The sequence below is a fragment of the Homo sapiens genome, chromosome 5 (genome assembly GCF_000001405.40).
Source record: "Homo sapiens chromosome 5, GRCh38.p14 Primary Assembly".
Taxonomy (NCBI): domain Eukaryota; kingdom Metazoa; phylum Chordata; class Mammalia; order Primates; family Hominidae; genus Homo; species Homo sapiens.
The window spans coordinates 15557019-15581889 of NC_000005.10; the positions used below are offsets into that span (position 1 = coordinate 15557019).

At 39.2% G+C, this 24871-nt stretch overlaps 1 protein-coding gene across 3 annotated transcripts in view; it reads left to right on the plus strand.

Annotated features, from left to right (window-relative positions):
* Positions 1 to 24871, plus strand: part of FBXL7 (F-box and leucine rich repeat protein 7) — a 439614-nt gene that overhangs the window by 56839 nt on the left and 357904 nt on the right. Inside the window, exon 1 of one of the 3 annotated variants that reach the window (XM_017009262.3) lies at positions 8493 to 23794. The exons of the other annotated variants lie outside the window; for them this stretch is intronic. Coding sequence (XP_016864751.1) covers positions 23773 to 23794 — 22 coding nt within the window. The 5' untranslated portion in view covers positions 8493 to 23772. Of the gene's footprint in view, positions 1 to 8492; positions 23795 to 24871 lie in introns of those variants that run through there. 3 annotated transcript variants of the gene reach the window in all.

Genomic DNA, 24871 nt, shown 5'->3' on the forward strand with positions numbered 1-24871 from the left:
GCTCCGCTTCCTGGGTTCACGCCATTCTCCTGTCTCAGCCTCCCCAGTAGCTGGGACTACAGGTGTCCACCACCACGCCTGGCTAATTTTTTTGTATTTTTAGTAGAGACGGGGTTTCACCATGTTAGCCAGGATGGTCTCCATCTCTTGACCTCGTGATCCCCCAGCCTTGGCCTCTCAAAGTGCTGGGATTACAGGCGTGAGCCACTGCGCCCGGCGGAGCCAGATTGTTAATTCAACCTGAAATACATTCAGGCACAAGGACCTTGTGTTTATTAGGCTTTATTGGCCTTGCTGCTAAGCCCTACAAAAATGTTAAATACAGAAGTGAGACTGTAATATTATAATTAATAAATGTTTAATTAAGAGTCTCCAAACTGTATCCTTAACTCATCATGGAGTAACATTTGTATATAATTATATTTAAAGTGAGCCGTGCATCATTTTAATGTGATATCCTATGGCATAAGGCTTCTAAAAGTAAGATGTGTAAGGCTAATGAAGATGTTACAATGACCCCATTACACTGTTTCATAAAAAAGAGCCTTATTTTACTTGATATTAGCTGCTCCATTAGTGCTTTGGACATAAGAGTTGTTTAGCCTGCTTCGTGAAGGGTAAGGAGGCCTGAAGACTGCAGAGATAAATGAAGGAAAGTTGCCAGAGAGCCTTGTATTTCAGCCTAGTGGAGCAGGCTCTTGGGATTGCTCTTCCTGTTGGATCAATGGAAACCCAGGGACCCCTGAGGGGTGAGATGACTTCCTGGTGGTCAGGCAGTGGGAGAGAACTGGAGTCCTCCTCAGTTCTCACTGCTCTCTGACCACCTGGTGAAAAGTGCTTGTATTTAATTGTGCTATGAATAGATTATCATAAAAATCTTAATGTGACACAAATTGTGTGATTTCACTTATAGGAATTACCTAAAATAGGCAAATTCATAGAGACAAAAAGTAGATCCAAGTTGCCAGGGGCTAAGTGGAGGGGGAGAAGGAAAGTTATTGGTTTACGGATATAGAGCTTCTGTTTGGGGTGACGGCAAATTTTGGAAATGGTGGTGATCTTGCATAATTTTGTGAATGTAATGAATACCACTGGATTCTACACATAAAAATGGCTAGAATCACATGTTTTGTTATATATATTTTACCAAAATTTTTAAAAAGAAAGAAATACAAAGGAAAAGAAATCACAGTGGAATATTTTACTCAGTGATGATCTTATTAACAGCACCATGCACGGTTTGCAGGGCCTTAGCTGTTCTCCTTTGGAGCCAGAGAGGATTAGGTTGATTTTTCCTTTGCTTTCCAAGAGGATTAATCTTCACTTCCCTTTTCTTTAACACAGAAAGAATCATCACTCAAGCCCAATTTCTCTTTCAAACCTTAGAGCACAGGGCATGGATTCTGGCCCATGCCTGTCATTTATTGCTGCTGGGCCAAGGGGAGCCAGCCAAAGGAATCACACAGGTGCCAGGCCACATTTGACTCTAAATGGCATATATGGTTTCTGAGTACCCAGCTCACTGTTCCCAAGGGATTTACTTTGGAAATAGGCAGTTCTCTACCTCTAGATTCAAAAATAAACCTGAGGTTCCTAAATAAACTGGAGCTGCGCTTCAAAATCCAAGCAATGGCAACTTCTTGTAGGTGAGGCCACATATGAAGCCTTTTGGGTATTTGAAATTAAACCCACATTGTATAGTGTCCAAGTAAGATTCATTTTATAGAGAATTATTTTCTCCTCTCATACTGAGGTTGCTTGTCTATTCTATGGAGTCTCATACATGAATCAAATTTGTGTGTGCCCATGAAAGCATCCAGAGTTCTGGCAGTTGTCATGGTAAGCCAGGAGCATGCACTCTGTAGCTGGGCTGTTAGTGTCAAATCCCGGGTGCTTTCTGTGGGAGCCATGTGATCTCCACAAGGTACTTAACTCGTCGTGGGTCATGACAGGAATCAAATGAATTAATACAAGTAATGTACCAAAGACGGTGCCTGGCAGAGAGTAAGTACACAATCAATATGAACCATTCATTATTACTGCTAACAGTAGTAGTATGTTTGTTTGTTTAGACACTGTATAAGAAGCAAGTTGCATTTTGGGGAGAAGAATGCACAGGAACATAAAAGATGGAAACTAAGGACATATCAGGAAGACATGAAGCATTTTCTAGAGACTGTCGAGAGGAGACACATGTCTGAAATAACTGGAAACTCTTCAACCAATTCCATTCAGTTTAATCTAAAGTCAGATTGTGAAAGAGTTATGGTCCCATTCAGATAACATAACCATTTGAAGCCTAAGAGTCATGGAGCTCACAATGAAAAATAATAATGTGATAGAATCTCACAACTGTGTGCATATTTATGGATGTGCACATGTATCTGTGTGAGTGTGTGTTTTGTTTAAAAAGGTCCCTGAACGTGTAGTATAATTTCCTTATATTACATTTAAATTTATAAATGGAGAAATGGCATCAGAGAACCGACGTGACTTGCCCCGAGTATTATTCTCTAAAAACGATCCTAAAATCTCTTATAGAAGACCATTTTCACTATTCTGTGGACTGGTTTTCCACATGTTCGATGAACAAGGGACAAAAAAAGTTATTTTGCCAAGTTCCTAATAGGTGAGAATATACCTAATATTTGATAAAGCAAAACATCTGTAAAACAAACAAAAAAGAAGACAAAGATTAGTGGAGTTAGGGCAAAGATTTGTAGCATGTGTGTAATTGCTTTGGCAATAAAACGCCTGGAGGCATGATTGATTACGCATTGATGTTAAGAGTCAGAATCAGTACTGAATAGTGTAATGCAAGGCACCATTTAGCAACGCACATTAAGTTTTATGTGTTTCTTTTTACTTTGCTTGGGAATGAACTATCTCTACTTGTGAATTCATGCAGAATCCAGTTACACGCAATCACTTTCATTGTTTGAAGGTATCCCTGGCACCTACACTTACGGCATGATTGTTAGGTACATGCCTCAACACTAGCATTATAAGCACATTGAAGGCATCTTACAAATATTTGTACCTTCCCTTGGACCTAGACAATATCTTGCATATTGTTTTTACTCAGTAATACTTTGTGAATGCATAATGAATGAACATGCAGTAAACAAACTTTGAGAACAGATTGATCCATACAGTTATAGGCAGTTGATCCTTAATAGCATCTACCCAAATGACCTTAATAATACTTAATATTTCTTCTTGTCTGTGCTGATTCCTCTTGACCTTACTGATTCTGCTTAAGTAGGGTGAGATTTCTTTTAAAAATGCTATAATAGTTAGTTAAAATGCTTATCTTGATAATTGACAGTAGCCAGTGAGCCATAAGTTAAAAAATACATAAATCAAGTGATGCTTGGAAACCAGTTCCCTCAACCACTGCAAAAAGGAGGAAGCATTCAGAACTACAAATGGTTCCAAATTGACCAGCCTCCTGGGCTCCCAACAGCTCATGCATGTGTCTCTGTCTCAGAGTTCTTTCCTAGGTGCTGAATTAATCTCTTTTCAGGTGCAACTTCCCGACCAGATAATGGACTCCTTAAGTGAATTATGAAATTCAGAAGCATGTTTATTACACATGTCAGGTATGAGCAATAATAATAAAATGCAAAACTGTATGCCCGTGACCCAGCTTAAAGAATGGAATGTTAGCAGTCTCTTTCAACTTCCCTCTGTTCTTCTGCAATTTCATATTACCAGTCTCTTTCAACTTCCCTCTGTTCTTCTGCAATTTCATTGTCCCCGCTGGGATGTCTCCATCATGATTTTGTTGTGCTCATTCCAGTTTTGCTACTTACATATGTATTATAATATTAATGTTGCAGGTTTGGAGTCTAATGCAAATTGACTCATACTGTCTTCTTTTTGGTTATCAAAGAATTTCATATATATTTAAGGTGTACAATGTGATGTTTTATTATATGTGTATACATACTGTAGTCATTACTAGGGTCAAGTAAATTAACATATCCATCATCTCACATGTTTCCGTTTTTTGTGGAAAGAATTTCTAAAGCAAAGAGTTTTAAAGTAAAGAGTTAAGAGATCTAAGGAGTTCTGAAGTAAAGAGTTTCTTAGCAGTTTCTTTATATAATACAATATTATTAACTGTAGTCCACATACTGTGGTTAGATCTCTAGACTTCATCTGCTATAACTGCATCTTTGTACCTCTTGACCTCTATCTATTCCTTCTTCCTCCACTTTTGTTAACCATGTTTCTACTCTGTGTTGCTATGTATTATTATTTTTAAGATTCCACATGTAAGTGAGATCATGCAGTATTTGTCTTTCTCTGTATGGGTTATTTCATTTAAATAATGTCCTCTGGATTCATACATGTTGTTGCAAATGTCAGGATCTCCTTTTTTAAGGCTGAATCGTATTCCGTTGTATAAATGCATACCACATCTTTATGCATTCATCCGCTGATGGATATTTAGGTTGTTTCCATATCTTGGCTATTGTCAATAATGCTGCAATGAACATAGGAATGCAAATATCTTTACTACGAGGTGATTTCATTTCCTTTGGATATATACCCAGCAGGGACTACTGTGTCATGTAGTAGTCCTATTTCTAATTTCTTTAGGAATCACCATGCATTTTTTTTTACAGTGGCTGCACCAATCTGTATTCCCATCAAGACTGTACAGAGGTTCCTTTTACTTCTCACCCTCACCAACACTTATACCTTTTTGATAACAGCCATCCTAACAGGCATGAGATGGTATCTCATTGCAGTTTTGATTTGCATTTGACTGATCACAAAAAATCCCAAGTAGCCAAAACAACCTTGAGAAAGAAAAATAAAGTTGGAGGCATCACATTTCTTGATTTCAAATTATATTACAAAGCAAAAGTAATCAAAACAGTATGGTACTAGCATAAAAGCACATACATAAGCCAATGGAATATAATAGAGCCTAGAAATAAATCCAAGCCTAACCAGTCAACTAATCTTGGATAAGGCCACCAAGATAATGCAGATAAGAATAGTCTCTTCAATAAATGGTACAGGGAAAACTGGATATTAACCTGCAAAAGAATGAATCTGGGCCTTATCTTACACCATACGTCAGTTCAGAATGGATTAAAGACTTAAGATGTGAAAATGTAACATTCTTAGAATAAAATATAGGGGAAAATCTCCTTGATATTGGCTCCAGCAATGATTTCATGGATATGACTCCCAAAGCACAGGCAATAAAAGGAAGAATAAACAGTGAGGTTACATCAAACTAAAAAGCTGTGCACACCAAAGGAAGCAGTCAACAAAAGGAGAAGACAGCCAATGGAATGGGAGAAAATATTTGCAGACATTATATCAGATAAAGGATTGATATCCAAAATATATAAGGAACTTATGTAACTCAATGGCAAAAAGAAACCTGTTTATAAAATCAGCAAGTGACCTAAACAAACATTTGTCCAAAGAAAACAGAAAAATGGCCAACAGGTATATGAAAAGGTGCTCAATATCATGATGTATTATTTTATACCTCACTTTTTTTTAGTTGGCATTATATTCATGAGAATTGCCCATGTTGCAGCCTGTAGCTATAGTTCTTTCATTTTCATTACTTTTCTTGCTCGTCTGTCTGCTTCCCTCCCTATATCTCTCTCCCTCAGTTTCTCTCTCCATCCCTTCTTCTGCTCCTCCCTTCCTCTCTCCATTCATCCCTTTCCCCTCCTCCTTCCCTCTTTCTTTCACACATATTTATTGCATTCTTTCCATGTGCCAGACACTGTTCTAGGTTCTGAGGACAGACACAGCAGTAAATAAAACAAGGTGAAAATCCCTGCCTTAATGGGACTTAAGTTCCAGGTGGAGACACAGATGTTAAACAAAATTATTACAATATTCATACATTAGCCATTATGAATTGTTATGCAGAAAGGAAGAGTGAAAAGGGATTAGGGGAGCCTGGTATACAGAGATGGCTTTCAACATTAGAAAGGATGGTTGGGGAAAATATAGCAGAACTTACTTATCTTTTCTTCTGCTGATAGACACTTAGTTGTTTCCTTCTGGGGCTATAATGAACAATGCTTCCATATGTCTTCTGCTGGAAAGGTGCAGAAGTATCTCTGAGGTGTATGTTCCTAGGAGTGGAATTTTTGAATTTCTTAGAAAAAGGCAAGTTGTTTTTCAGTGATAATGATTTATTCCTCTTTGCATCTTCAGTACTTAGTATAGTGCTTGGCACCAAGTTGGGCTAACACTTGCTTGAGCAAGTGGAACTTTGTTGTAGAAACGAGAATAGAGGCTGGCACTCCATACCTACTTCATCACGTTAATTGCGCTCTGCTATTTAAACGTTGACCTTGCATGGAAAGCAGAGACCAGACTTTCCTTTATTTTCTGTGCGAAAGTTCTCTTAGGAAATGCCTTCTGACATTTGTTGAGTTCATGCTGGCTGCAACCACTGGGGCTGCTAAAGCGTCTTTCACAGTAGAGGAACACTGGAGGTAGAGTCTAGCTGTTTATTGCAAGTATTTCTCACTCTCCTGTTTGAAACAATCCTCAAGGAAGCCGAGTTCTCTTTAGAGGATGTCATCCCTCCTTCCTTCTCTGCTCCTGGCTCCTAATGCTTGCCTAAAGAGTTTGCTCTTTCCAGCTTCCTCTATGGAGTCAGAAGTCTCCACTTGAACTTGCCCCTTTGAAAGTTCCTGTTGGGCTGATGTTTTGGCAAGCAGAATGTTGCACTTAAAATTGATCCTTCCTTGCTTGTAGAAAATGCATCTAAGGTACTTAGGGAATTATTTGGGGTTGGGAAGGCTTGATGCCTCATAAAATGAAGCTCTGGGCTGAAATACTGTTGAAATATGTCAAGCTCCAGAGTTGTGCCTTTACTTTCTAAATATTTCAAAAAAAAATGGGTGCTTATATCCAGTCACTTTGTGTATGAGTGTCTCACCAGGTTTTCAGTGTCCAGCCTCAGCATTTAAAATAAATTCATGTCTTATGAAGCCCTTTTATCGTTGGAAACCATTCTTCCTGGTTCACACATGTAACAGATGATTTGTGAATGTGTTTTCTGCAGTCCTTTCTGGTATATACTGAACCATTTGGTTACCAGCTAAGTTTATTAAAAATTAGGATAGAATATTCTTCCTATCAAAGGGCTCTGGAGTGTCTATTATGAGATTCCTGTCTATTTCCCTTTCTCCTCCATTATTAAAAAATTCATAATTTACATTGGTGTCATATTAATGCAAAACAACAGGTTTTATGATTTTTGCCATTTTAGTATAGTCATTCTTACATTTTGTTTCCAGCTTTTAAAAATAATTTTTGCCATCAGTTGAGTGAATAGGACAATTATGATGTCAGTAATATCTGTGTGTGTGTGTGTGTGTGTGTGTGTGTGTGTGTGTATGTGTATACAATATGTTTAGTCAACCCCATTCTAGATTTTCTCAAACAAGACAGTAAAACTAAATGGCAGTGTTCATGGGATTTATTGAGTAAATATATTTTAAGTAGATATACACGCCCAATATTAGCAATAGCAGGAAATGAAAAAGGAGTAAAAAAGAAAAAAGAAACCAACAAAACCTTGGACTGCAGTTCAGTAAAGAAAGAAAATCTTATTTATTATTTAACTGCTCTGTGATTTCAGTTTCTTCTTCTCTCCTTTTAGTTTGAATCTGGTCCAGTATCCCGGATGCCAAATGACTTTCAGGAAGGTTTCCGACACTAAATCTACAGAAATCCATTTAGCCAGAGTTGTGTGTATGGATATACAATTTTGTGCACAATATGCCTGAAATACATTCAAAATGTTATGAGGTTTGCTATTTTGGCTCCTGCGCTAATGATGCACAGCACTGATATTAAAAGCTCCACTAACAGTTATGTGGTTTTTATTTTAAAATAAATAAAACATTTTAAATCTTTCAGCTAGTAAAAATGCTACAATGTATTTGTGTCTTTTTTTAATATAAAGATAAGGTTTTAGAATAGTAAATAAAACCAAACATTTATAGGTGTTTTCAATATGCTGCTATTAAAATAATAGTAATAAAAGTAGATTTTCCTGTTTTAGAAAGAAAAAGGCATATGATCATTCCCACTAAAATGAATGGCAGTTGGCTGCATTTTCCTGTCTTGCTGATACAATTTTTCCATGCCATAAAAATATGATTAGCTTGTGCTTAAAAAAAGTTTGTCAAGTCTCCATGAAGAAAATATCCATTGAAATCTAGACTGTTTCTAACATAACACCATGTTTTTACAGTAAAAATGTGAGGAAAGGAAATACTCAAATGAACGGAAACCTTCATCCTCATTCAGCCAAACTAACTCATGGTTGGGTTCTAAGTATTTGTTAAAGGAGTAAAGAGAAAATGGGGTCTTTGTTAGAGACCCTCTAGGTCATGTTGTATTAGTCAGGTTCTCTGGAGAAACAGAACCAATAGGAGATGTATGTCTATAAAATAATATATAATAAAACTAGGATATATATAATCCTCTATATATTTATTCTTAATTATAATCTTTATATATATAAATTAATAATTGTGCCAACTTCTTACAATAAATCTTGCTCTCTCTCTATATATATGTATATATATTGCACAATTATGGAGGCTAAGTCCCAATATCTACAGTCAGCAAGCCTGAAACCCGGGAGAGCTGGTAGTTTTAGTTGAAAGGCCAACAGGCTTGAGACCCAGGAAAAGCCAATGTTTCAGTTCAAGTGTGAAGGCATGAAAGAACTGGTGTCTCAGTTTCAGATAGTCAAGCAAGAGGAGTTTCTTTTACTAACAGGAAGCTCAGTCTTTTTCTTCTATTCCGGCCTTCAACTAATTGGATGAGGGTGACCCATATGAGGGAGGACAATCTACTTTACTCAGTCTACTGATTCAAATGTGAATCTTATCCAAAAACATCCTCACAGGAACATCCATATAATGTCTGACCAAACCTCAGGGCACTCCATGGCCCAACATGTGACATAAAATGAATCATCACACGTGTAAAACTTTCCTTTTTTTTTAAGGATAGGAAGAATAAAATATAGATGGCAGGAGATTAATGACATTTACAGGAGTCTGTCTTGGAAAATTCACATCTCTTCTATGTCCTGTATTGAAAATAGATAAAAGATGGAGGAAAATGCTTTAGAGATTAGACACTTTTAGGTTTTAGAGAGAGAAGAGGGTGGGGTTCAAGCTTGCTATTGTCTTGAAAGACAATTTGGATGGGCATAGGACTGAAATTGAGTGGGCTTTCCCCGGCCTGTGCTCCGCTGCCTTTTTTATTGGAGCTTAAGTAGTAAAACTGGACAACCTGCCTTTCAATTATAAGTTGAGTTGGCAGAGAAGCGCTGTCTTCTTCTGTTTTATTTAGGCAAACCAACTTAAGAATACCAAACAATAGTTGATTAATTTTCCCCAAGGATGTCTGTAAAGCATTTAATTCAGTTCAGTCAACTTGAGTAACTACCATGTGCAGTGCACTGAGCTAGGCGTGATTGCAGGGGACATGACTCAGAGCAGACACTGGGAGAAAAGGACCTTGTCTTTTTTAATGCGAAAATGAATTTTGGGGCCTAAACTCCATTTCCAACATCATAAATTACACATTTCATACAAGAAGCAACTTTTTGAGAAGCATATTTTATCGCAAATGAATAAATAATACTAAAAGCATTTGGAAAAGCAAATGATTACTTTTCTGCAACCTTTGAAAGATTCAGATGGCACAGACTTCTTAACCTGAGTTGTGTGAAATGCAGGGTCCTACATTGTATTTAATGCCTTTCTGGACCTATTTATGGTGACTTGCCTTCCTGTTGGGGACTTGCAAATCACTTTTGAAATAAAATGTTGCATTTGTACCTGTAGAAAGATTGTCAGTGAAGGTTTATTGCAGAGCTATTTATTCCTCCCAGTTAGACAGTGAGTCACACAGGATTCTTTCAATGGGGGATCTGAGAGAACAATCACTTTTGTCAAAGGGATGTGCATCTACTACTGCTCATCTGCTTCATATGATCTTACCACACTCATAACAATTCTGGACCTGTTGCACCAGGAGGGCAACAACATCCTGAATTTTAACTCTTCTAGCAGCTCATCAGCATCATTTGCTGGAGTTTTTTTCCTATAGACCAAAAGATGTTTTTAGACATATTTCATTCATATTTGGGCAAACCACCTAATTTTCCTGGCCCCTGTTTCCTGATGTGTAAGATGAAGGGAGTTATTTTAGTACTCATTAACTTCCCTTCCAATCCTATGCTATGATTTTACAGATAATTAATGACAGCTGTACTTCTAGATTTCTACTTAGGTCATAAATTTTAGCAATATAAAAAGATATTTGTTTTTTCTTCCAAGCTGTAAAGTAGAATATTAAATATTTTTGAAATTTTGCGTTTCTCTCCCTTTATTCTTCTTCACAGTGAAACAGTGTGAGTTGAATTAATAATTGGAAGAGTGGGTGTCTGCTTGCACATCAGCATTCAGTGACCGTTACTTGGGAATCTAGATAATTTTCACTGAGAACCTTTTGCCCTTAAGTCTGTCTCTTTCTTCTTTTTTTTATATATATATATTTTTTATTATACTTTAAGTTTTAGGGTACATGTGGACAACGTGTGGGTTAGTTACATACGTATACATGTGCCATGTTGGTGTGCTGCACCCATTAACTCATCATTTAACATTAGGTATATCTCCTAATGCTATCCCTCCCCCCTCACCCCACCCCACAACAGGCCCTGGTGTGTGATGTTCCCCTTCCTGTGTCCATGTGTTCTCATTGTTCAGTTCCCACCTATGAGTGAGAACATACAGTGTTTGGTTTTTTGTCCTTGCGATAGTTTGCTGGGAATGATGGTTTCCAGCTTCATCCATGTCCCTACAAAAGACATATACTCATCATTTTTTATGGCTGCATAGTATTCCATGGTGTATATGTGCCACATTTTCTTAATCCAGTCTATCATTGTTGGACATTTGGGTTGGTTCCAAGTCTTTGCTATTGTGAATAGTGCCACAATAAACATATGTGTGCATGTGTCTTTATAGCAGCATGATTTATAATCCTTTGGGTATATACCCAGTAATGGGATTGCTGGGTCAAATGGTATTTCTAGTTCTAGATCCCTGAGGAATCGCCACACTGACTTCCACAATGGTTGAACTAGTTTACAGTCCCACCAACAGTGTAAAAGTGTTCCTATTTCTCCACATCCTCTCCAGCACCTGTTGTTTCCTGACTTTTTAATGATCGCCATTCTAACTGGTGTGAGATGATATCTCATAGTGGTTTTGATTTGCATTTCTCTGGCCAGTGATGATGAGCATTTTTTCATGTGTCTTTTGGCTGCATAAATGTCTTCTTTTGAGAAGTGTCTGTTCATATCCTTTGCCCACTTTTTGATGGGGTTTTTTTTTCTTGTAAATTTGTTTGAGTTCATTGTAGATTCTGGATATTAGCCCTTTGTCAGATGAGTAGATTGCAAAAATTTTCTCCCATTTTGTAGGTTGCCTGTTCACTCTGATGGTAGTTTCTTTTGCTGTGCAGAAGCTCTTTAGTTTAATTAGATCCCATTTGTCAATTTTGGCTTTTGTTGCCATTGCTTTTGGTGTTTTAGACATGAAGTCCTTGCCCATGCCTATGTCCTGAATGGTATTGCCTAGGTTTTCTTCTAGGGTTTTTATGGTTTCAGGTCTAACATTTAAGTCTTTAATCCATCTTGAATTAATTTTTGTATAAGGTGTAAGGAAGGGATCCAGTTTCAGTTTTCTACATATGGCTAGCCAGTTTTCCCAGCACCATTTATTAAATAGGGAATCCTTTCCCCATTTCTTGTTTTTCTCAGGTTTGTCAAAGATCAGATGGTTGTTGATATGTGGCATTATTTCTGAGGGCTCTGTTCTGTTCCATTGGTCTATATCTCTGTTTTGGTACCAGTACCCTGCTGTTTTTGTTACTATAGCCTTGTAGTATAGTTTGAAGTCAGGTAGCGTGATGCCTCCAGCTTTGTTCTTTTGGCTTAGGATTGACTTGGCAATGCAGGCTCTTTTTTGATTCCATATAAACTTTAAAGTAGTTTTTTCTAATTCTGTGAAGAAAGTCATTGGTAGCTTGATGGGGATGGCATTGAATCTATAAATTACTTTGGGCAGTATGGCCATTTTCACAATATTGATTCTTCCTACCTATGAGCATGGAATGTTCTTCCATTTGTTTGTATCCTCTTTTATTTCCTTGAGCAGTGGTTTGTAGTTCTCCTTGAAGAGGTCCTTCACATCCCTTGTAAGTTGGATTCCTAGGTATTTTATTCTCTTTGAAGCAATTGTGAATGGGAGTTCACTCATGATTTGGCTCTCTGTTTGTCTGTTATTGGTGTATAAGAATGCTTGTGATTTTTGCACATTGATTTTGTATCCTGAGACTTTGCTGAAGTTGCCTATCAGCTTAAGGAGATTTTGGGCTGAGACGATGGGGTTTTCTAGATATACAATCATGTCATCTGCAAACAGGGACAATTTGACTTCCTCTTTTCCTAATTGAATACCCTTTATTTCCTTCTCCTGCCTAATTGCCCTGGCCAGAACTTCCAACACTATGTTGAATAGGAGTGGTGAGAGAGGGCATCCCTGTCTTGTGCCAGTTTTCAAAGGGAATGCTTCCAGTTTTTGTCCATTCAGTATGATATTGGTTGTGGGTTTGTCATAGATAGCTCTTTTTATTTTAGATATGTCCCATCAATACCTAATTTATTGAGAGTTTTTAGCATGAAGCGTTGTTGAATTTTTTCAAAGGCCTTTTCTGCATCTATTGAGATAATCGTATGGTTTTTGTCGTTGGTTCTGTTTGTATGCTGGACTACATTTATTGATTTGCATATGTTGAACCAGCCTTGCATCCCAGGGATGAAGCCCACTTGATCATGGTGGATAAGTTTTTTGATGTGCTGCTGGATTCGGTTTGCCAGTATTTTATTGAGGATTTTTGCATCAATGTTCATCAGGGATATTGGTCTAAAATTCTCTTTTTTTGTTGTGTCTCTGCCAGGCTTTGGTATCAGGATGGTGCTGGCCTCATAAAATGAGTTAGGGAGGATTCCCTCTTTTTCTATTGACTGGAATAGTTTCAGAAGGAATGGTACCAGCTCCTCCTTGTACCTCTGGTAGAATTCGGCTGTGAATCCATCTGGTCCTGGACTTTTTTTGGTTGGTAAGCTATTAATTCTTGCCTCAATTTCAGAGCCTGTTATTGGTCTATTCAGAGATTCAGCTTCTTCCTGGTTTAGTCTTGGGAGGGTGTATTTGTCGAGGAATTTATCCATTTCTTCTAGATTTTCTAGTTTATTTGCATAGAGGTGTTTATAGTATTCTCTGATCGTAGTTTGTATTTCTGTGGGGTCAGTGGTGATATCCCCTTTATCACTTTTTATTGCGTCTATTTGATTCTTCTCTCTTTTCTTCCTTTTCTTCTTTATTAGTCTTGCTGTCTCTTTCTTCTTATTGTTAGAATTGTGCTTTTCTGCTGAATATACAACGAGCAAGTCTAAGATAAAGGAGGTGGCCAGGGTCTGTGACTGTTCAGCTCTATGCAAGGTACAGACCTGAGCCACCTCATCCTGTAGCAGCCCGTGTGTGTGCCAGCATTAACAGAAGTACCTTCCAGGGTGGTTTCCTGCAGCTCCACACACGGCTCGGCCTGGACTTGGGAGACCAGTTGCCCCTCAGCTGACTGAACTGTGTGTGCTGGTTCCTCTTCTGGTTTATAACTGTGCTTTAATTTTTATGAATTGAAACTGTGTCTCATGCCTGTAATCCCAGCACTTTGGGAGGCCAGGGCAGGCAGATCACCTGAGGTCGGGAGTTCGAGACCAGGCTGACCAACATGGAGAAACCCCATCTCTACTAAAAATACAAAATTAGCAGGGTGTGGTGGCACATGCCTGTAATCCCAGCTACTCCGGAGGCTGAGGCAGGAGAATTGTTTGAACCTGGGAGGCAGAGTTTGCAGTGAGCTGAGATCATGCCATTGCACTCCAGCCTGGGCAACAGAGCAAGATTCTGTCTTTAAAAAAAAAAAAAAAAAAGAAAAAAGAAACTTTAAAATGTCAATGTTTGAGCAGCTAAACATCCTTGTTCTACAAGTGGATTCTGAAATCATAAGACCTAACCATGAGTTTGACTCTGCCACTTAAGTCAATGGCCTCTAACTTTTTTTCTTTTCTAAACAATGCCGCCTCACTAGCAGTATAGAAACTGTGATAAATGGCCTCAGTTAGTCATCCTTCCTTTAAAATTATACTAGCAACAATGAAAGGGGCTTTTGTTGGGAATCTCCAAAAACTTCTAAACCTTGACCCTCCAGGGTCCTGGGAAAATGAAGAGATGTAGGATGTGAAAAGATGAAGGTGTTTGCTTTAAGATAGTCAGGTGGAAATAGGGTTAGAGAAAGTGATTTGAACCCAGTGGCTTTTCCTCTTTACAAATGTGTAAACTAAAATGATTTGACCAGGTGAGAGACATTTTCTTGGGAAATATTTTCCCAAGAAAATATCACTGTTTAATGAATTTAAATCACTGTTTAAATTCATATGAGTTGGTAGCCTGGCATTGTTAAGCAGATGACATTTCGACAGAGTTGCTGTGGGTGGGTCTGGAGTTGCCCTGGGTCCACCTCAATGCCATAAGGGAAGAGTGCTTGGAGGCTTTTGGGTGAGGTATTGTCAGTCACTGGTGGACATGTGCCTTCTCCATGGTGCTTGCTCCCATTGCAGAAGGGTTCAGCCGTGCCGTCGCAGATGCCAGTGCCCTCAGGGAGGGCAGATAAAGTGACTGCGTGCATCATCTGGGGTAGTGGTGGGGTGGTTCAGACTGTGGCAAACTAGCCCACACATGCCCCATCTCTTACCCGGTTATGAACACACAGAATTAGCCCAGAATTATCAGAGCTTCCAGGTTCCGATTTTTCAAGCAGGTCTATTAATCTGTATTCATATGTGAAATATCTAACCTTTAAATATTTAATTTTGTAAAAGACATCCACTGGGCTTAACCAAAAATGTCTGTAAGTCACCAGGTTTTTGACTTTGGGTATCAGAGCTCCTGGGTCTATCCAAAAGCCATGAACATTTACTATCTGAGTATATTTGGCATAGTCATTTAATCTTCCTGAGGCTTAGTTTTTATTTTTCAGAGTTGAAATAATGATACTTGCTCTAGAAAATTATAAGGATAAAGTCAGAGAGGGAAAATGGAAATGATTTGTAATTGCAAAGTCTTTTGGTGGTTTAAAATGTTACATGCAAGGATAAATCATGCTCAGGTATGGAGGAGCTTTAGCAGAAACATCCATCTGGTTTCTGCTAAAAAAAAAAAAAAAAAAAAAAATCTTGTTCAGGGTTCTTGTCACATACTTTACAGATGTGTTCCACTGGCCGAAAGGTGTACTGCCCTCAAATGTGCAGCAACCCACCTAACTCCTCCACTGAAATATCAAGCTGAGGCTGCTCACCAGCAGCTCCTGTCATCTTTGACTTTGAAAAAGCAGGTTGTGTCTAGATTGTGGACCAGCAGGCGTAAGGGCCTGTGTGTGCCTCCATGTGGGAATTTAGAGCCATGGCTCCAGTTCTGGGCTTTGATGGGGTGGAGATGGGCCCATGTCATGCTGGTTTTCTATTGTGGAACATTGACTCAGAAAGCAGGTTGCTTAAAGAAGGATTAGGAAGAGGACCTGGAGGCTGCAACCTATAGTCTGTCTTCTCCCTTCATGCCCTTGTCCAAGCAGCGTAAACCACAAACTCTCCCACTGCCCCATACACCCCCAAGATACCAGTATATATACCTCACCCTTTGTGACTGCTTTTCCACAGTTAAAGGAAGACCTCTCTTGATTTATGTTGAACCAGGTTTACCCCTGTAAGCGTAGAATTTTTCTTTGTTGGGAGGAGAATCAGGAAGGTTTTCAGGGAATATGTCTCACTCTGGATTTTAGAGAAGCCCTGCCAGATCCCAAACTCATCAGGCAAGGTTAATCACCTCCCCTTCCCCCAAAATTGTGTCCTGCAGTATCTGGACACATCTCTGTGATTTCACTTTTTTGTTTACTGCAGGTGTTTGTCATCCATAATAGACTAAAATCTTCAAAGGGAGACAGTACAAATGTTATTTATTTTTAATTCTGCGGCCCAGTAAGCAGCTCAATAAATGCTGGTGCAGTTGCACTGAGAGATGCTGAGCCTTCCATGTCTTTGAGTCTCAGGAGAATGTAGAGTGTCTACAAAAGCATGTGCATTCCTGTTTAGAGAACTAGAGAGAGGAGGAGGCAAGGAATATTACAGCACAAAGTTTCAAAGAATCTTGCCAATAAGATGGTCAAACCAGCTCAAAAAAATAGATTTTTCCCTTTTTTAGTGAACTTTTGAATCAAAAGGAAATGATAGGTTTAGTTTGGTAAAATAAAAGAAGGGGGAAGCTATAACAAGTCTTTTTAATGATGGTGATGTTGGCCGAAGAAGGGATTTTTATGGGAGGCATCACTCAGTTTTACAAAGGAAGGCAGTGTAGAAGTCACAGTTTGGAATTTTCTTTGTCTTCCTCAGGAAAAAAGATGTTCTTGTTAAGCAGTGACTTCTGCCAATGTCAAGCAGATAGTTTCTGTTGTTAGGGAATGCTCGGGTCACTTAATCAGATACTCTGCTTCAGCCAATCAGTACTCAGGAGTAATGTCAGTGTGCCTTGGATCTCTGCAGAGCATGAATGTGAGGTCATCGGTACAAATTAATAGTTTATCACGAGGTCCTTGACTTGTACTATCATAAATGTAGATGATTGTTAATGAACATCTGTACCACTTCCGTCAGCAACCCCACTGAAAACAAAAAAGGTAATAGCTGGAAACTTCTGAGTCATATAAACATAAAGCTGATATATAGAACTGAGCATTGTTCTTACATTCAGTATATTGCTGAGCCAGAACAAAACCCCTAAGTTCTTCTTACTTAACTCTTTAAGACTTCTGAGTGGAATTCATTTTCCCAGAAGTCCTTTGGTAGCTTTCTATTGTCTATACCTGTCATTATTATTAATTCAAAGCCATTACAAATATCCAGCAGCTCTTACAGGTGCAAAATCTGTAATAATATATGTTTTCTAAAATTCAGAAATACTTTATGAATGAATAAACTCTGCCATCTCCAGAATGGTTTATCATATAACAGTTTTGACTTAAAAATAAACTTTAATGCCTCCACTGTAAAAGTGCAGATAGATAAAATATGCTTTAACAATAGAAATGCTTATTAAGCAATAATTTACCAGGTTCTATAAAATAACTCGGGTTCAACCTAATATTCAGTGTAAGAGAAAGATATTTTTTAGGATGAAATAAATGCAAATCCTAGCAGACTTTGGATATGTACTTCATTATTTTATGTAGAAATTTACAGATAGTAGGTGCAAATATTTCTGCACTATTGAAATTAGATTAAGACTAAAAATAAACCATTTTTAAACATTCATAAACAGTGAAGAACTGAAATAAGCCAGTAGCTTCGTTATTCATGGGTATACTGGACATTTATACATGAATATAGCTCTGTTTGCTTCAAGGTAACATTTCACTCTATGCTGGTATTTAATATGTAATGGAGAGAGTGAGAGAGTAAGCCTGCCCGTGTGAGGTGCTTGTAAGCCTGTATTGAGTATTACCCTTGGGCTTTGGGCTGGAGCGTTCTGGTAGCTACCAACCTTAGGTCATTTGCTTTAAATGAAATACTAGTGCTTGTTGATGTAGGAATTGGAATTATGGAAAGTAAGAAAACAACATAAAAATGAAATTGATCTATTGGAAGCAGGATGGGTCCTCAACTAGTTGCTCATATCTCTTAGCCATTCTGACTTGAAATCTTTGTAGTCATTTTCGATTCTTGGCATTAGTTCTCAACCAGTGCAGTTTTGCCTCCCAGGGGACATCTGGTTATCCGGAGACATTTTTTGTTTTCACAATTGTGGGAGAAAAAGTGGGGAGTGCTGCTGGCATCTGGCATCTAGTGAGTAGAAGTCAGGGATGATGTTAAACATCCTAAAATACACAGGACAGCATCCACAACAAAGAATCATCCGGTCTGAAATGTTACAGCTGGGAGTCCCTGGATCAGAAAAAGCTAGCTCCAAGAAATCACATTTTGTTTCTTTCAACCTGAATTACAGAGTAGTCCAGGTTTGTCTTTAACTTATTCTGCCATGGAGATGTGTTTTCATATAAACTTGTCTCTTTTTGTGGACTTATTTATTTACTTTTATCATTTGTGTTTGCTTGCTTTGTTTTTTTCCTGTAAATGTGAAACAGATCTAGAGTTTGATTCTTTGACGAGCGCAACAGGGAATTGAAAATCACACAAACAAGAGTGTTTTCTTGGTTGTTTTTGGTTATAATAGCTTTCTGTTTTTAGTGATCAGAAAAGACAGATCCCTTTGAGTTCTGTTGTGTTAGAGGCATAAATGGATGGCCATTTTATTTTAGATTAGATGTTCCCATTCTGGTGGCTTCATATTATAAGTCTGTGATAATAAGTGAGTGTTCCTTTACTTTAAAACATGTTTTTGTTTCTTTGTGCTTGGTTTTTGGACTGCTTAGCAGAACATTTCAGTTGGCAACTGTAGCTTTTTCTTACATCTTATACTTCAACTATTTTCAAACTGGCATGCAATAACATAAGCAGAATGAAATGTATTAAGTGTGTGTTTATGTCTATTGGGAAATATGGTGTAATCTGTAGCTACTTATTCCTTTTTGTTTTAGCACAATATGCCTGTCTCATTGTACACTGTTCTAGGAGCAAATAACTAGTTTCCACAAAGAACAAGGAACCTATCAACATAGAGGTAAATTATTGGCAATTGACATTCCTGGCCTTCAAAAATACATTCTCCATTCCCTGCTTTAGTCTGCACTGTGTTTTTTTGTGTTTGATTTATATTTGTAAATGGTAAGTGAGTTTAGTGATTCATTAAATAATGTCAAAAGTAATGGTTGCCAGAGAATCTCATTCTTTTTTTTTTTTTTTTTTTTTTTTTTTGAGATGGAGTTTTGCTCTTGTTGCCCAGGCTGGAGTGCAATGGCGTGATCTTGGCTCACTGCAACCTCCACCTCCTGGGTTCAAGCAATTCTCCTGCCTCAGCTTCCTGAGTATCTGGGATTACAGGCATGAGCCACCATGCCCAGCTAATTTTTTGTAGTTTTAGTAGAGGCGGGGTTTCTCCATGTTGGTCTGGCTAATCTCAAACTCCTGACCTCAGGTGATCCACCCGCCTTGGCCTCCCAAACTGCTGGGATTACGGGCATGAGCCACTGTGCCTGGCTGAGAATCTCATTCTTAATGTATCTATTTTAGCATTAGGCTGGGTTTATCCTGAAGCACTTTCCCAGAATATGAAGGGAGGTGCCTTATGAATCTGAAAAAAGTTTTGTAGTAGAATGATAATATTCAAGTAGCTAGAGTTTATTAATGAGCAAGAAGCTATATCTTTGGAAAGTAAGAATAATATTTATGTTGTTACTGCTCAGCATATGGCAAAATTCACCAAGCAAAGAAGCAGTGGATATTAAAGGTTTGCTTAACTTAATGGCTGGTGTGGATCACTGACATTGAAGATACCTTTAAAAAGATTGATTTTTTTTTTTGGTCCTTAATAACTTGATGAAACCATAAAGTTTAGATGAGGTAGTTGGCCGCCTGAGGTTTGGGTCATTAGCTTGAATGATCATTCCCAGGTGTTTATACATCTCATTACAACAGTCATCCACCATTTTTCTGCTACTCTGATTATCTGTTTATCTGTCTGTCTTTCCCATTATTTTGTAGCTGCTCTAAGAGAGGAGGCATTTTCTGATCATCTTTGTATCCTGGGCATTCCCTAACACAGTGGTGTGAATATAGCAAAGATTAAAATTTTTTTAAAGTAAAAGCTGAGTTGAATTGAAAGAAAATAGTATCAATTATTTTGCCATAAAGGCTTTATTAAACATGAAGATTCCAGTGTCCTGAGATTTTATGTGAAATCTTCTGAGAAGCAGCCTGGATAACAATGCGTCCTAGGAGCCTGGCTTCATTTTAAACTGCCTACCATGAAATGACTTCTGACAGGCGTGGTTCACTCTTTACGGTCCGGTGACTAGCTGTGTCCCTTCCTGAGAACTCTGGGTCAGCGTGGCCTCTGACAATGTCATCCACGTCCTCGTGGCGTTAATTATCTACACCATGGTATCTGGGTTCTTCAGAGATTGGCCTCTATTGTCCCCAGGGGCAGGGGGGCATTTATTTTCTTCCCCATGTGAGTGTGAGCTTCCTGTGAGTGCCACTGTCTTATCAGAGAAGTCAGGTAATTATGGAAAGTGTCTATGTGACAGAGAGTGACCGCTTTCTATTTAGCTAGCTGCATTGCATCATCGTTCGTTGCAGCTTCTGGAAGGGATATGTTCTGGGGGACACAATCATTTTTAAGTAAATTAAAATATATTCTAGTTGTTTTTGTTCTGATTCCTATAATGAATCATTACTATGTAATGCATTTTGTGTGTGTGTGTGTGTGTGTGTGTGTGTGTGTGTGTGTGTGTCTATTTATAGATTAAGGAGGCCTTGAGGTCTAAAGATACCTTTTGATCAAATTTGTGTTCTAAAGTTGTTAAGAAAAATGAACCCAGAGGGTCTGGATAAATATTTTGCAAATGTAGTCCATTGTATTTGTCTGCCACTGTCCGTCTCCAAGGAACTCTGCCTTCCTGCTTTAATCTGTGGTCATGTTTCATCCAAACCCCATACATTATAAAAATAATCATAGGTTATTGGGGTTGATGTCCATGTTTCCTACCTGTAATTATACCCTTGTTATCTTGTTTGTTATGAAAAGATTGTTGCATATTGCAGATTGACATGGAGCTGTTCTTCTGCAGCACCTGTGGGCTTTGTTCTTTGGATTCTGGGTCCTTGTTTATGGGATGTGTGGTCATGGATGTAACACGGGAACACAGGGCTATGCAGGTGTTTCCCTTGGCTGATAGGAAGGCTGCAGTTCGTCCACAGAAATATAGATGTTAACTGGCCATCACCCATAACATAAAATGCTTCTTTATTATACTGGGAAAGTGCCTAGAGACATTCTTGGGAGAATAGAGAAATTTCTGCAACTTTCTGCCAAAAACAATCTTATACAAAAGAGATGAGTGGAGAACAGTATGTAGTTCATGTTTTGAAATAACGAATGTATTTCTTGAGATGAGACATAGCAATGTATTGAAAAAAAAATCCCCTTTCGGCAACAATTAGGATGTCGCTCCCAAGAGAGAGAGACATGATCTCAAAGAAAAACAGTGGTGCTTGTATCATGGCACCAAACAGCAAAAAGACATTGGGAGTCTGACAGATAAGCCTTGTGGTTTTGTATCAAACTGGTGGATTTTGAAACTTCTGAATTTCCTTAGAGAAAGTCTCAACACACTAACCCATAGATATGGCCTCAGGTGTGGTTCTGGAACGTGAGTGCACTAAGTGTCTGCATCATCCAGTGTGTTTAGTATTGGATCCCTCATGAGATTTTCATGACCCCCCGTGATGCTACAAGGGATCCAAAACACTTTCATAACTTGAGCAGGAAATAGCCCAATCACCATGTGTTTAAAAGGAAAGTTGACACAATTCCAGTCCATTCTGAAGCAAACACAGGTGTACTAATTCTGCAAAATAAAAATGTTAAACTTCTCCTGTCTCATCCCATAGCCCTCCAAAATAAAAAAGTTTGGTGGCTAAATTAACTCGAGATGGAATATCTTTGGATTGGATAAGTGTTTATATATGGTTTTGTCATCCATGACATGGAACATTTTGATGAAAAATAAATTATTGGACTGTTTTAGTCTTTCATGGATTCCAAGTGAGCCTGCATGTTTGCCATCAAATAGATACATGTAGATATACAGCCTTTGCCAACCTGCATTGCTTTTTAGTGGATATTAATGTGCTATTTGGGTGAGATTTAACAGTGTCACGTTCTTTAACTTTCATCTTTCCAGATCTCTTGGACTCAGTGCCTTTAGACTTACAGGTTCCTAAACACAGGTGGGAGGTTGACAAGGTAAGGGAGGAAAGCGGTGCTGTTTCTTACCTTCATGGAAACACGTAGGAAGAGGTTTTCTACCTTCTTGCTTATGTGTAACCACATTTAAGACTTACTCCCCCAGGCTGTTTTTGGCCATAGACAGTGTGGGAAGTGGATTTCTGGAGGGGAATTTGAATGTATTACTGTTGGGCTCTGTGAATAATTGGCATCCTAGAGGGACCTGGGACGCCAGATGCTGCTTCTCCCACAGGCCATAATTTGTCCATGAGTATGTGGCTTTAGAATATAGTCCATAATTCCTTATCCAGAAAATCAGTATGTCTGAGATGAAATAATGAAAGTTACGAAACACAGATGCTTCCCTCAACTAAACAATATTGCTTTACAAAAGTGCAAGAAATCATCTTTCCAAATAAGATGATTCTGGTCTGTTTATCATTGTGTGGCAGCATGTTCTAGTTACTTTTGCCACATTCCAGACAACCTTAAAAGTTAGTGACTTAAGCAACAGCCATTGTTTTATGATCTCTTTCAGTTCTTGTGGGTCAAGAATGTGGGAAGGTCTTGGTGGAGTGGATCTGGGGCCAGTCAGTGGCTGGAGCTGAGAATGGCAGAACTGGACAGGACCAGCTTTCCCTCTCTTTTGTCCTCCCTGTCTCTCTCTTCCTAGGGTGTCAGGCCTCTCTGTGTGGTCTTTCTGCATGGGCTACTTGGGCTTCCTCACAGAATTACTGTCTCAGGGCAGCCAAGCTGCTTACATGGCAGGAGAAGCTTTCAAGAGTTGCTTATTCCAGGGAAGCAGCATTGGCTTTTATGACAGCCTGGGAGGTCATGCAGTGTTACTTCTGGGCATTTTATTGGTTCCACTAGACTGAATGTTTGTGTCCCCCCAATTCATGTGTTTAAGCTCTAACCCCCAAGAGGATAATAATAGGAGGTGGGGTCTTTGGGAGGTAATTAGCGTTAAAAAAGTTCATGCGAGTGTAGCCCCCATGATGGAATCAGTGTCCTTATGAGGAGACCAGAGCTCCCCTCTCTCTGCCATGTGAGGATACAGCAAGAAGATGGGCCTCTGTAAACCAGGAGGAGGGCTCTCACTAAGAACCTAACCCTACTGGCACCCTGATCTTTAACTTCCAACCTCCAGCACTACAAGAAATAAATGTTTGTTGTTTAAGCCCCCCAGTCTATGGTATTTTGTTATAGCCCAAGTGAAATAAAGAGGCAAGTTAGAAGTGAGTGAGGAGGCTGCCTGGATCCAGGGAGGAGAATCAGACTCCCTCTCTGGATGGGGGCATGGCAAGGTCTAGGGGCCATGTGATCGTGTGTGGTCATCTTTGGTCAATATGCCATACACTGGTTTATAATTACCTAAAAACAGAGTTTTAGTCTCTGTTCCTGGATAAGCAAACCAAGAAGCCACTCTCTTTTAGTCTTTAAACAAATCTTGCACTATTTGACTCCTTTCTTTTGTAACAGGCAGATCCACAAGCCATGCTTGCCTGGGAGAAAATATCAAAGGCAACATGAAAATTAACCTCTGGGTCCGGGAGTGCTGAAGGTGCCAGAACAGGAAGGGAGGTGGTGAGCCTGAAGATCTCACAAGCTTCCCTCCTGGTGTGTGTTTCCAGACCGTCAAGGGTCCTGGCTGCTCATGGTCTATCTCAGTTGCCCAGGTGAGCAGAGTCATGGGCCTGGAGACTATCCCAGCGACACTGGTTGATGCATGGCTGGAAGGGGCATGGAAGACAGAAGGTTGGAATCCTGTGATCCACTCTTAGCTAGCCGGGTGACCCAGCAGAGGCCTCTCTCTAGATCCAGGGATTAGGAGTTACGCCAACACCAGTCATGGTTGATAGGTTCCAGTACCTGGGGACAGATGCTGCTAGCTGGTGAGCGGAGCCCACTTGCTTCCTTACATATAATTGAGGTCACACTTAAATGGGCATCATATTTGAACAGTTCACAAAAGTCATATTGGAAGCCAGTTCAATATATTGATCCATTTTACCTCGAAGCCTACTGAGTACCACATTAGGCATGTCAAATATCATTTTTAATGATCAGATCAGCAATTCTCCTACTGGCAGATTTATTGGCTATTCTTTATTATGTCATTAAAAAAAATCAACTTATTTCAAATTAAACCCTTTCCCAGGAACTTGAAAATGCATGAAAGACTAAATTCAGATAACCACTGGCTGATGCCCACCGCCCATCCTCCATCTCCCCACCCCTCACCCCCGGGCTGTGCCACAGTCAGGCCAGTCCTGCTTAGCCTGGTGCTGCCGCCATACAGTGCTACTAATGTTGGCTAGTGGGACCCTCCACTTTTCCTCTGTGATGTGTTCAGCATGCTGCCTTTCAGAGAGAAAACAGCCGTTAGGGTCAACTGGAACCATAGCAATGGGGGAAAATTGTAGCAGATTTTGCTCGTTTTATGGAATCTTCTGTCTTTGCTCTGGAAAGTTCTCCCAGAATTGAAACACTTAAGTCCTACTCAGCAGACTGTCCTGATGCAGCTGCAAGATTCTCAGACTTTGGTCTTATAAGTTAGACTCTCTTGTCTTTTGGTCTGTCTCCTTCTTTCCCTCTTTCCCTCTGCTTGTTTATGTGCTTGCGCAAGCATTAGTGGGTGCCACACAGTTGTGTGTGAATTTGTGTGGTGGGGAATATGGATGAGAGGTGGGAAAGCAAGCTAGTTTCTGTCAGATACCCGGCTCCCTCCCAGAAGTCCAGACCTTGCAATCTGG